General features: G+C 39.5%; 1 protein-coding gene across 1 annotated transcript in view, besides 1 other annotated feature; it reads right to left on the bottom strand.

Annotated features, from left to right (window-relative positions):
• SLC35F3 (solute carrier family 35 member F3) overlaps positions 1-14,011 on the bottom strand; it is a 419,836-nt gene that overhangs the window by 167,792 nt on the left and 238,033 nt on the right. The window lies entirely within an intron of this gene.
• Positions 2,800-3,301: an enhancer, noted in NCBI's record as "H3K4me1 hESC enhancer chr1:234289165-234289666 (GRCh37/hg19 assembly coordinates)". NCBI's record gives its function as "activates a minimal SCP1, AML or CMV promoter by ChIP-STARR-seq in primed H9 embryonic stem cells {active_cell/tissue: H9 hESC(primed)}" and the evidence as "EXISTENCE:reporter gene assay evidence [ECO:0000049][PMID:30033119]".

Genomic DNA, 14,011 nt, shown 5'->3' with positions numbered 1-14,011 from the left:
ATCTGGGGTATTTCTACTTTTTGGCTATGATGAATAATGCTGCTCTGAACACTCCTATACAAGATTGTTTTGTGGGTATATGTTTTCATTTCTCTTGAATATACACCTAAGGCCCTTAGAGTTCTCTAAGTTAAACTTTTTTCTAAGTAACTGTAGCTTTTTGAGGAACTGCTCAACTGTTTCCCAAAGTGTCTTTACCGTTTTCCGTTTCCATCAGCAATGCATGACAGTTACGACTCCTCATCCTCACCAACATTATCTGTCTTTTAATCCTGAACGTTTTTGTGCACCATATCGCATACTCGATGATCGCTTTTGGGTACATTTCTCGAAGTGGTACTGCGGGGTTACAGTGTGTGCACTTTACAAAGGCTTCAGCCGTATCGCGGAATTATCTTCCAGAGAGGTCGTACCAATTTGTAATTGCGCCAATAATGTATGATTTTCAACTTTACCACATTCTCCCAGACTCCGAGTATTACTGTTCTTTTTAATCTTTTCCAATCCAATGTGGAAAAAATTATCACCTTTGTTCTATTTCTTGACATTGTTAATTTTTTTTATCCATGACATTGTTAACTTGAAATATGTTTAATGTGTTCATTGGTGGTTCTTTGTCTTATTTTTGAAACCTTTTCATATATTAAAAGTATAAACTTTTGATTTGTATATGTTATAGATAATTTTTCCAATTTGTTGTTTACCTTTTAATTTTCTTTTTGGTATTCCTCACCAAATAGAAGTTCAAGTTTTTAGACAGATATATTTATCAGTATATTTTTAATGGCTTCAACATTTGGTATCATGTTTAGAAAAGTCTTACTGACCAAAAGAATATATAAATATGGAACATATTTTCTTATAGTAATTGAATATTATTTTTTACATTTAAAAATTACTCCACCCTATTGGTTTTTGTTTTTGGGGTTTTTTTTTTGGTATATTGTGTGAAGTAGAGTTCTAACTCTCCTATCTTTGAATAATCCATCCTTTCCCCAATAATTTTTCAGGCAATTGTTAGCATTCATTTAATTCTTATATGTCATTAGATCCCTTACTTTCTATTCCTTTCCATTAAACTGTGTATATTTAGGTAGTAACATTATTTTAACAATATTTTAATTGTTCTGGTTTAATATAGGTATTCTAAAATCTTTTAAGGCACGCCTGTAGTCCCAGCTACTTGGGAAACTGAGGCAGGAGAATCGCTTCAACCCGGGAGTCAGAAGTTGCAGTGAGCCAAGATTGTGCCACTGTACTGCAGCCTGGGCAAAACAGTAAGACTTTGTCTCTCAAAAATAATAATAATAATAATAATAATAATCAGGTGAATAGCAGTTTTCACTTAGAAGGACATGGAAGTTTATCAACATCCTTTAAAAGAAGGGGCTAAGAAACCAGTCCCAGTAGAAACCTTTATTAGACAATCTGTCCCAAAGTAATATTTCTCTCTCAAATAAAATTGTCTTAAAACAATGAAACAAAGCAGATAAATCAATTCTCCCCCTATGTAATCAGCCCTCTGTATCCACGAGTTTGCATACACAGATTCAACCAACTACGGATTGAAAATATTTGAACAAAAAAGAAAAATAACAATAAATAATAATAGAAGTAAAAAATACAGCATAACAACTATTAACATAGCATTTACATTGTGTTAGGTATTATAAGTAATTTAGAGATGGTTTCAGGTATATGGAGGATGTGCATAGGTTATATACAAATAACACATCATTTTGCCTAAGAGACTTGAGCATCCTGGAATTTTGGTATCTCTGGGAGTCCTGGAGTCAAATCGCCCCCGGATATAGATGGATGATTTACATACTTGCTTATCTCTCCCCCTGGTGGATTTCTTTTGTCATTACATCAGGCAGGAGCCTCTAAATTCTGGATCAAGGAGGGCTCTTGGGTAGGCCTGAAGGAGGCTGGAGTAAAACCTTTAGAAATACTAACTACTAAAAAGATTATGGTGGCATCCCATGCCTACATTATTAACATTTGCTGATCAAAAGTAAATGTAAGGAATTCTGACACGTATTTGATTTTTAAAATTTTAGTTATGATAACTATTTAAACTATTGGGGGAAGGAGAATGCCAGACATCAAATTTGTGCTCCCCTGCCTGACCCCTGTGGCCTCTGATAACTTCCCGGCTCCCTGGTATTATAAGAGATCCCAGGCTCATCTTACACATTTCCGGCTTAGACTTGGAAGCAACTGTTTCTCCAAGAAGGGTTGGTTTCTATTAGTGGGTGAGGAATGCTCACTGCTACTGGATTGGCAGTTGAACTAAGAAATATTTGTATGCCAATAGATAGATGGACACATACATAAAATATTTTATGAGTTCATATTGAGATTTCCAATTCAATTCCAAGACATTAGGGTGTGTGCTTAACTTCCCCCATTACATCTGAGCTCCTTTCCTGTGCCCTGTGAATGTGAGTTTTCTTTTCTTTTTTTGAGACAGGGTCTCACTCTATCGCTCCGGCTGGAGTGCTGTGGCGTAATCACAGCTCACTGCAGCTTCTACTTCCTGAGCTCATTTGTCACTTTCTGCTTTACTTCTCCCACCTCAGCCTCCTAAGTAGCTGGGACTACAGGCATATACCACCCCACCCAGCTAGTTTTTTGTTTTTTGTTTTTTTTTTTGAGACGGAGTCTCGCTCTGTTGCCCAGGCTGGAGTGCAGTGGTGTGATCTCGGCTCACTGCAAGCTCCGTCTCCTGGGTTCACGCCTTCTCCTGCCTCAGCCTCCCGAGTACCTGGGACTACAGGCGCCTGCCGCCATGCCCGGCTAATTTTTTGTATTTTTAGTAGAGACGGGGTTAGCCAGCATGGTCTCGATCTCCTGACCTCGTGATCCGCCCGCCTCAGCCTCCCAAAGTGCTGGGATTACAGGCGTGAGCCACTGCGTCCGGCCCCCACCCAGCTAGTTTTTGTATTTTTAGTGGAGATGGGGTTTTGCCATGTTGCCCATGGCTGGTATCAAACTCCTAGGCTCAAGTGATCTGCCCACCTCTGCCTCCCAAAATCCTGGGATTACAGGTGTGAGCCATTGTGCCCAGCCAGAATGTGAGTTTTCAAAGACACCAGGAAAACAACTAAAATACAGTATATCATAATTGCTCATTTGTTTTATGTTACTCAACAGCCTCTGAATAACACCCCTAATACTACCACCTACATGATAACTGAAAGCATTAACATATTTTGGTATGTGCTTTCCTTGTTCTTCCCCCATTTGTATTTTATTTTATTATTATTTGTAGAGATGAGAGTCTCGCTATGTTGCCCAGGCTGGTCTTGAACTCCTGGCCTCAAACAGTCCTCCCAACTTGGCCTCCCTAAGTGCTGGAATTATAGGCATGAGCCACCTGTTCCTCCATTTTTATCACTGGGCTGTATCTATATTGTGAGAGCACAGATACACTATACTGTCTGAGCCTGCCCCACTTACTGTAATGCTCCACACCAGTTCTTACTATTAGGGTCTCTCTAGTCATGTGATTGTCTGAAGCTTGGTTTCCAGAAGATTCTTTAGGAAGTGTTCATGAGAACAATATTCCTTGAGTTTTTGCATGTTGATAAGAGTGGATGTCCTTTAGACTTGATATAAAATCCTAGGATGACACTTCCTTTACTTGAGCAGGTTAAACAGACTCTTCTCAAAAGAAGACCAACAAACATGAAATTTTATGTTGCCAACATACATATGAAAAAAAGTTCATCATCACTGGTCATTAGAGAAATGCAAATCAAAGCCACAATGAGACACCATCTCACGCCAGTTAGAGTGGGGATCATTAAAAAGTCAGGAAGCAACAGATGCTGGAGAGGATGTGGATAAATAGAAACGCTTTTACATTGTTGGTGGGAGTATAAATTAGTTCAACTATTGTGGAAGACAGTGTGGCGATTTTTCAAGGATCTAGAACCAGAAATACCATTTTACCCAGCAATCCCATTACTGGGTATATACCCAAAGGATTATAAATCATTCTACTATAAAGACACATGCACACGTATATTTATTGCAGCACTGTTCACAATAGCAAAGACTTGGAACCAACCCAAATGCCCATCAATGATAGAATGGATAAAGAAAATGTGGCATATATACACCACGGAATACTATGCAATCATAAAAAAGGATGAGTTCATGTCCTTTGCAGGGACATGGATGAAGCTGGAAACCATCATTCTCAGCAAGCTAACACAGGAACAGAAAACCAAACACTGCATGTTCTCACTCATAGGTGGGAGGTGAACAATGAGAACACATGGACACAGGGAGGGGAACACCGGGGCCTGTCAGTGGATGGGAGGCTAGGGGAGAGATAGCATTAGGAGAAATACCTAACGTAGATGACGGGTTAATGAGTGCAGCAAACCACCATGGCACGTGTATTCCTATGTAACAAACCTGCACGTTCTGCACATGTATCCCAGAATTTAAAGTATAATAATAATAATAATAATAATAACAATAATAATAATAATGTTACTCCATTTTCTTTTAGCACTGCTGTCAAAAAATTGATTATCTTTTTTCTTTCATTTAAAAAAATCATATACACTTTTTTTTCCTATGTGTCAAATAAATTTTTTTCTTTTCTCTAAACTCCCATAACTTTACAAGAAAATATCTGGGTCTTGGTCATTTGGGGGTTATTATTCTCAGATATTCTAAAAGTTAAAATGAAATGAAATGATAAAAAAAAAGGGAGAGAAGGTGACAAATATTGAAGGTGGGCAAAACGATCAACCATACGGCAAACAGAAATCCCTTAAGGTATAAAATGCTCTTTAAATATGCAATTTCAATTTTTCTTTATTTCTGGAAAGTTTTCTTGAATTATAGTTTTCAGTATTTGTTTTGTTCCATTGCTTTGGATTTTGTGGGGTTTTTAATCCTGTAAGGAACTACTATGAGCTGTATGTTTGATCTTTTTGCCCATCTTCAATATTTGTCAGTTTCTCTCACTTTGTAAAAATCATTTCATTTCTTTTAACTTTTAGAATCCTTTTTACCTTTTATTTCTCTTAAGGCACGACGCTACGTTTATATGCTCTTGAGTTTCTTCTAGTTTAATCTTAATTTTTGAAATGACTTTTTCTTTTATTTTGAACTCTTTCCTCATTTCTGAGTTTTGCTAATTCTGGTTTATGGTTTTTTTTTTCACATCTTATATAATTTTCTACCATTTTGAAATGCCAGGTTTCAGTTTTGTTCAATTTGTGGGCACATTTTTCCGTCACACTTTCATTGTGTAGAGTTTTTATTCTGCCCCTTGGGTTCCTTTTTCTTATAATAACTTAGCCTGGGATTTTACTTTAATATTTTTCTCATGCTCATTTTCCTGTGAAATTGATTTTTCTAAACTTTTTGAATGAGATGGGGCTCAGGAAAGTCATGCTAGCTCCACTGAGCTTCCTCTTCTGTTTTTTTTTTTCTGATAGTTTATGTAAATGGCAGCTTGCTTTCTGGGATTTCCTGGCTCTATCTCCCTCCCTGGCTTTGGTCTGGAATTTATTTTTTCTTCCTTTCTGTTTGTCCCCATCCTGCTCAATTCTGACCTCATCCCAGCAGCCCCTCCTCAGTGTGGGCCCCATCCCAGGAGGGAGCTCTGCTGGGCCAGTTTCTAGTGTCCATAGGGCTCGAAGGCTCTGGATCCTTCAGTCCTTCTTGCCCTGAGCCTCTTACACTGACCTGGTATTGGAGTCAGCAGAACCCCATCCAGTTTTAGCGTGCTTCTTAAAGTACTCTGTTCTTTCCTGGGAATTCCTGATGGCAATTTTGGGTCCTTTTGTTCTCAGTTCCCTCAGTCACTGCCAACACTGGGTCCATCATTGCTTCTTTCTTTCCCCCACAGACACCAGGCAGGCCCTGTGGCTTGCTGGTGGTCTGTATTCTGGGGTGCCGGGAATATATTTTCATCGGGTTTTGTTACAAATGTTCCTGGGCTTTTGTCTTTGCTATTTAGTTGCTTTATTTTAATGTAGGAATATAGACAGAATGGAAAAACGACACTGCCTCTGCTACCATCGTCCCAGAATCCTCTCCATACCTGTCTGACCTTTCGGCAGCCAGAGGTAGACTGTAGCATAGCAGACATGGGATCTATTTTGATGAGCTTATCCAATGAGATAAGATATGAGAGGTAAGATAAGGGATGAAAAGTAAAGGGAACAAACATTTTTTAAAAATGTTAGCATTACATGGAGATTACTTAAATATACTTAGCACAGAATTAGAAAAGGTACAGACACACAGACCTGACAAAAATGTATAAGATGATGGTGTAGCATCGGCTGGAAATAAAAAGGCCCAGAGAAAGACACAGTCACCAGGCCTTCCTACTCCGAGGTCTTCAAACCAACAACACTCTTCCTCACAATTTGGGTCACCAAATTAGTCTTCTCCTTAAGAAGCTCAAGGAAATTGGTTGCTTTATTTACAGTGAGTTTACATTCATACATATTCTGCCTCAGCAAGTGTAGAGAATTACCGCTTCCATTTGAGCACAATTTAAATGCGGACAATTAGCTGAACCTTTAGAGGATAAATCTAGTTTCCTAGAAGTTTTCATTTTGAGTAGTAGGATTGGATGAGCAAAAATTCTCAGAAGGCAGCTTTGCTTGCTGGTTGGAGCCAAAGTCTATGGGATAAGGATGTGTGGGAATCACTGGTGATTTGCACCTTTCTATGGCAAGGGATCAACATGAGGAACCTCTCTGGAGAAAGCACAAAATGCATCCTGTAGCACATTAATCACCAGCCCTGCTGGAAGGATCTGGTTTCCAGGTACCGTTGGGTTGGCCTGAGATTGGACTGTTCTGGGCAGTTAAATACATTTTGAATGGCAAAGCATTTTCTTATTTACATTTTTGGCATGTTTCTCTCTATTGAACTGACTTCCAATAGAAAAATTAAAAGTAATATGTAGTCACAAGAAAAGCATGCTCCTGATTCCACAGGATTTGGCCAATGATCTGAGACAGCTTATATTCTTTTGAAAATATCAAACATGAAACATAGCTCTCAGGGCGTTTTTTAAGGGCAGGAAGAAAAGAGCATATGAAACAGATGTCCAGGAATTCATAGGATTAGGGATGCCTCTCTTTGGTTCATGGAGGAAGCCATCAGGGATGAACTGATGGATAGGAGTACAGCTGTTAGGGTATTCTAGGGACCACAGGACTGCGTTGAAGTCATTCATGTAAATGTCATAGTTACAGTATCACAGCCACTTGGAATATCCCCAAACAGTCAGCAGGCACATCACCATGCTCTAAAACCATTACTAACTCTTTAGTGACTCACAATAACTAAAAATGTGGGCGCTGTGAGAAAGATTACGCATCCAGATTGGACTTTGGGAAGAAAGAAATTTAGAAGCTCAGGACTGGGAAGTCACTTTGTCTAATTTCCTACCTCATGTTGAAATCCTGTTCACAATGTCCCCCATGGGTATTTTATGTCCCCAAGGGGCCCTGTAATGTTCCATCTTCACTCAAACAGCAGAGAGGGAACCCTGTGTCAGGACTTGGTTCTCCCCTTTTCCATCCACACAGATTCCGTCATTGATTTCATTCATTTATGTGCCAATGACTCCTACATGTGTGTTCCCACCTGCACTCTCCTGTGTGCTCCAGTAGAGCCAACCACTGATTTGACATCTTCACTTGGATGACTAAGTCTTAAACTTCACATATACTAAATAGAACCATTAATCTCTGCTCCCATTCCATCCCCTGCCCCCACCTCATGCCCCTACATGTTTTCCCATCACAGGAAATGGCACCAGTCTCCATCCAGTTGCTCAAGCTAAAAACCTAGGAGTCAATTTCTTTTTTTTCCTCTTCCCTCATATCCAGTTCATCAGTACATTCTGTCATATCTATCTCCAAGCAATATCTTTAATCCATTCACTTCTCCCCATCTCCATTGCCACCATCTTAGTTCAAATCACCTGCTTAGATAATTTATAACTGGTCTCCCTGCTTTCGTTTTTGTCAAACCACCATCTATACTTTGTAAAGCAGCCAGAGTGATCTTAAAATGTAAATCGAGTGATGTCTCTTTTCTAAATAAATCATCAGTGTTTCATGATACACTGTTGTAAAAATTCCCTCCCATCCTACAGAGCCCAGCATGACGTGGCTCTCCCTGCCTCTCTAGATGTGATATGCCATTCTCCTCCTGTCCTTTTGAGGTATAGATTTTCTGTCTCTAGTTTAACATCAAGAGGAAACTGTTGAACAGGGTTTCATAATGACAGCTTCAGAGTTCAAGCTAGTGAGCTAGCATAGACTGTTGCTCTTTCCCTGCAAAACAGCTCTGGAAGAATAAAGGTAAAGAAGTGAAAAAATGAAAATGAAAACAAAGCAGTGAGAAATGGCTGAAAAGTCTGAAGTCCATCTTGAGTGCGTGTGGATAAGCATCAAGAAGACAGCTGTAGACAAAGTGAAGGAGGTCAGAGGAAAGCTCTCCCTGCTCTTGCCTTTTCGCTTCATGTCTTAGGCAGATATCTTCCACCTGGAGGTCTGCAGGAAGAGCCCAGCCCCAGGTGTGTACAGGAAGGGATAACTTGGCAGTGCCAAACCTTGCCGGGGTGAATCTTTGAAGACCAGTGAGTGCTGATCAGCCCCTCCTTGGACAATCACTCTCTCTTTCTCTCCCCTTCTTGCCGTTATAATCAGTGAGTTACAGTTCAGGGAACCTGACTCCTCCCACTGTGGCCCTCCCTAAGGCAGCATTTCTCAAAATGTGGTCCCAAGACCAACAGCATCTGCATCACCGGTGGACTTGTTAGAGATGCCAATCACCAGGTCCATCCTGAACAAGCCACTCAAGAGACTCTGGGGGTGGAACCCAGCACTCTGTACTGTAATAAGCTCTCCGGTCATTCAGATTCACAATGAAGCTTGAAAACCACGCCTCTAAGGGTCTGAAAGTAAAAACCTGAGCAGGAGAGTGGTAGGGACCAAAAGTGGGTCTTCTGATGCACAGGCTCCTGGCTGCCCTCAGAGTTTATTCCTCAACCTGATCCTGAAATTCTCCGGTACTAAGCTGACTTTTGGCCCTTTATCCAAAAAATTACCAGAGTAACCGATTCTCCCAAAGAAACATGAGCTTACAGGTCAAAATAACTTCATAACTGAGGAGTACACATGCTATAAATGAAAGACAAAAAACAGAACCATCCAAAGCAGAGATATTACAACAGAAGCACAAAAAGATTTAAAATAAGTATAACTCTACTTAAAAAGATAAATATGAAGCAATAATATGAAACATAAAGAATTATGTACAAATATTACATATGATACAATAACAGGTGAAACAAAAAACACAGTAAATTGGATAAACAGCAAGTTGGATGCAGAAAATATAAAAGAAAGCTAAGAGATGTGAGGGAGAGAAGAATTACCAATATTTTACACTATGATTTCCAACAGGACAAAAAAAAAAAAAAAAGAAAATAGAAAGGGCAAACTATGTAATTTCCCAGAATTAAAGGGTGTCAAATAGGAGAGATAAGGTAAGTCCATCCTTTAATACAGTAAAACTTACCAACATTAAAGACAAAGTGAAAATTCTAAAGTCTCTTCAGAAAGAAAGCAGATTACTCACCAAGGAACTAGAATGAAATGATATCAGGAGTCACAGTAGCAGCACTGGGTGTAAAAAAAGACAGTGAAATAAGATTTTCCAATATCTTTGAACCTATAATTTTATACTCAGCTAAACTGTCATCTGAATCTGAAGCAAACCTCTCATCCACAAGATCTCAGTTTTTTCACACTAAGACACCAAAACACATAGAAAAAAGTCTTCATTAAAAAGAGCAGAAAAATCATATTGATACTGAAAGACATATGGAAAGAAAGATGAGGCCGGGCACGGTGGCTCATGCCTGTAATCCCAGCACTTTGGGAGGCCGAGGCGGGTGGATTACCTGAAGTCGGGAGCTGGAGACCAGCCTGACAAACATGGAGAAACCCCGTCTCTACTAAAAATACAAAATTAGCCAGGCGTGGTGGCACATGCCTGTAATCCCAGCTACTTGGGAGGCTGAGGCAGGAGAATCACTTGAACCCGGGAGGTGGAGGTTGCAGTGAGTGGGAGGTGGAGGTTGCAGTGAGCAGAGATCACACCATTGCATTCCAGCCTGGGCAACAAGAGCGAAACTCCGTCTCCAGAAAAAAAAAAAAAAAAAAAAAAAAGAGCAAATATCTTGGTAACTTTTATTTTAGATTAAAAAATGGCTAGGCTCAAAGAAAAGAAAGTGTATCCATAAAAATTAAAAACTAAAAATTAGGCAATAGTAATATCATGGAAATGAAGCTGGATAGGAGAGACTGAAGGGATGTCAGAACATGCTAAAATATTTGTCTTGTGAGGTGAGAGAGACAGATATTGATAAGTTTAAAGAATGAATGGAGATTCTAAGTTTAGTGATAGTTATATTATTCCATCAGAAGAACATGAAGAAAATTTATGCAGTGGAATTCAGGAGAGACAAAAAATACATTAAATGAAAAATAGAAAACAAAATTGCAGAAACCAGTTATAAAATTACAGTTGCCACCAGTAATTAAAATGATTAAATTTTAAACCTCTAGAAATTACCAGATTAAAAAGAAGAAAAAAAGATCCACCTACATGTTGTTTATAAAGAGGTTCAATTAAAACAAAAATGATGTAAAAAGGTTGAAAGTTAAAAGTTGAAAAAGATTCCGCATGCAAATACAGTTAGAAAGCTGGGGTATAATCTTAATAGGTGACAAGATACAATGATCATAAATACAAAGAAAGGACAGTATACATAATAAAGGAAAAAAGAGAAAGATGATATGATCGTCATAAACATATACACTTGTCCCATGGTATCCCTGGGGGATTGGTTCCAGGACCCACTGAGGATACCAAAATCACAGATGCTCTAGCCCCGGTATAAAATGGTGTAGTATTTGCATATAACCCATGCATATCTTCTGTATACTGTAAATAATCTCTAGATTACTTATAATACCTAATACAGTGTAAATGTTGTACTGTATTGTTTAGGGAATAATGACAAGAAAAAAAAGTCTATACAGGTTCAATATAGAGACAACCATCATTTTTTTCCCGAATATTTTTGATCCGTGGTTGTTGGAGTCCACGGCTCATGGATATGGAGTACTGACTGCATGTCTCTAACAACTCAGCCTCAGAAAATGAAGAGAAGCAATAGACTGAACCACAGGGAGAAAAAAGATTCCTAACTGAAGATGGATATTAAAATAGCTTTTTCAGAAACTGATCAAGCAGAAAAAAAGAAGCAGATATACTAAAGATCTGAAGACTGTGTTGGATGACTAGTTAAATTCAAAATACTCCAGAGCTTCCCCCAATAGCATGATCCAGTTAGGTCAAAACTCACTTCAATATGAGACTAGGATGACATCCAAAGTGGATTTTGTTCCTGAAAGTACTAGAAGAGTCTATTATAATGCAGTACCACTCACAGCGGGACAGTGCGGTAAAAACTTCAAAACTGGTATCACCCTGAGGTTCCAAGGAATTTCCTCAGGATACAGTGAAAACCCTCAGGGCTGCTGTGATGAAAGTTAGTCCTGAGCCTTGCGCTGTTTAATATTTCCTTTGTTAACCTGGAGGATACTACAATTGTTCAAAAAGAACACAGTGAATATCACACAGAAAGATCAGTGCTGCGGAGAAGATGATTATTATCAAGAGAATGACACAGCACTACACATGCTATTTCCTACAGCTGGCACACTCCTCTCCCTGCTCCCACACCACGTATTCCTTGTCCTCTTGGCTGACCATCTCTGTTCTCTGTGCAACTTCATCATACTGTCTATTGGACACCCCTCTATCCTTATACTTATCACCCCGCACAATATTTATTTGTTTTCACACGAGTCTCATCCATTAGACTCTAAGTCCATGAGAAAGGGGGCCCTGATTTATTCATCTCTGTATCCCCACAGTCTAGCAAAGTATCTTAGTAGATATTTATTAAGTGAATCAGAAACTCATGAAAGAAAAAAAATCTGTTTAACTGCTACAAGAATTACAAGATTTAAAATAGTTGCCTAGCAGGTGCTAATTTCGCTTCTAAATAAAAATATATGTCTGAACAACCCATAGACCATAAATACTCACCTAAAAACAAACAGCAAAGACACACATGGCTGGAGGATTCAATGATGAAAGCCATCAGTGAGAGGTAGAAATAATATGCTGCAAAGAATTACCAAATGGAACCACCATTCCATCATGAGAAGTCATGAAGGACCTTTTCTTCGAAGGAGTTGTGTGTTTATTAGTGGCTTTAGAGATGTTCCCTAACCCCCTTGCATTTACAACTGCATCCTGCACCTGCCCTTGGAAACTGAGGACACCCTGCAGTCAGCCCTGCACATCCCAAGAGCACCGACACTCAACAGGCAACTATGGAGCATCTCTGTGTTTCCTGTGCAGGGTGTTAGAACTGAGAAGCACTGGGAGAGGTATTTAGTACACAGGAAGCTTATAGCTTCATTCAAGAATGGGCATGTGCTTCACACTGCGTGGTGCCATCTCCCCTGCTACACCCCGTCTCACTTTTCAGAATCTCTTTCCCTGGAGTACCAGCATTCATCCTTCACTGCGCAGTGGCAGGCAGTGGGACACCTTCTTTCTTGTGCTCTCTTGGCTACCTTAGACTGAGCTGCTAAGCCATTCCTATATCCCTAGGGGCACTGCTCAAGTTACCCTGTGACCCCTGTAAACAAGAGATCCCTCCATCATATGACCCAGCCATCCCACTTCTGGGTATTTATCCTAAAGGAAATGAAGTCAGCAACTCATAGCAATGTCTGCAACCCCCATGTTCATTGCAACATCATTTACAATAGCCAAGATACGGAATAAACCTAAATGTTTATCAATACATGATGAATGGATAAGGAAATTGTGTCATAAATACATGACCTTTTCTTATGCCATCCATGTCAACATGGATAAACCTGGAGGACATTGTGCTAAGTGAAATAAGCCAGGCACAGAACAGCAAATACCAGATGTTGTCACTTATACATGGAATCAAAAAGAGTCAAATTTGGCTGGGCGTGGTGGCTCATGTCTGTAATCCCAGCAGTCCGAGGGATGGCCGAGGCAGGTGGATCACCTGAGGTCAGGAGTTCAGACCAGCCTGGCCAATTTGGTGAATCCCCGTCTCTACTAAAAATACAAAAAATTAGCCGGGCATGATGGTGTGCACCTATAATCCCAGCTACTTGGGAGGCTGAGGCAGGAGAATCGCTTGAACCTGGAAGGCGGAGATTGCAATGAGCCAAAATCACGCCACTGCACTCCAGCCTGGGCCACAAGAGTGAGCCTTTATCTCAAAAAAAAAAAAAAAAAGAAAAGAAAAGAAAAGAGTCAAACTCATAGAAGCAGAGAGAACAGTGGTTCCCAGAGGTAGAGTCAGGGAGAGTAGGGACAAAGGGTACAAAGAGTAGGGACGTAGCTTAAAGGGTACAGAGTTGCAGTTAGATAGGATGAAGAAATCTAGAGGTCTAAAGTACAGCATGAGGATGATAAGTTAATAATATTGTGCCTATACCGAACAGGTTCTAAGAAAGCAGATTTTAGGTGCTCTGACCATAAGAAAAGGTAACTGAGTGAGGTGACGGATATGTTAATTTGCTTGACTGTAATAATCATTTCACTATGTATATGCATATCAAAACATCATGTTGTACACCTTAAATATATATAATTAAAAATGATAAATAAAATATGTCACAGTTCACCAGAGTGAATAGAGATTTCCCCATACTGACTATATAACTCAATCTTTTAATGAGAGTTACATATTTGGCCATGTGACCCTGGTGAGATCAGATACCTTGAATCTGAAACATGGTAAACATCATGATGACCAACTCTATGGGAAAAGGGCCATATTTAATACACTGGCCCCATTGGATTTGTAAGACCT

The sequence above is a fragment of the Homo sapiens genome, chromosome 1 (genome assembly GCF_000001405.40).
Source record: "Homo sapiens chromosome 1, GRCh38.p14 Primary Assembly".
In the NCBI taxonomy this organism is placed as follows: Eukaryota; Metazoa; Chordata; class Mammalia; order Primates; family Hominidae; genus Homo; species Homo sapiens.
The sequence above is the reverse complement of the archived record's forward strand: the minus strand, read 5'-3'. Positions and strand labels throughout refer to the sequence as shown.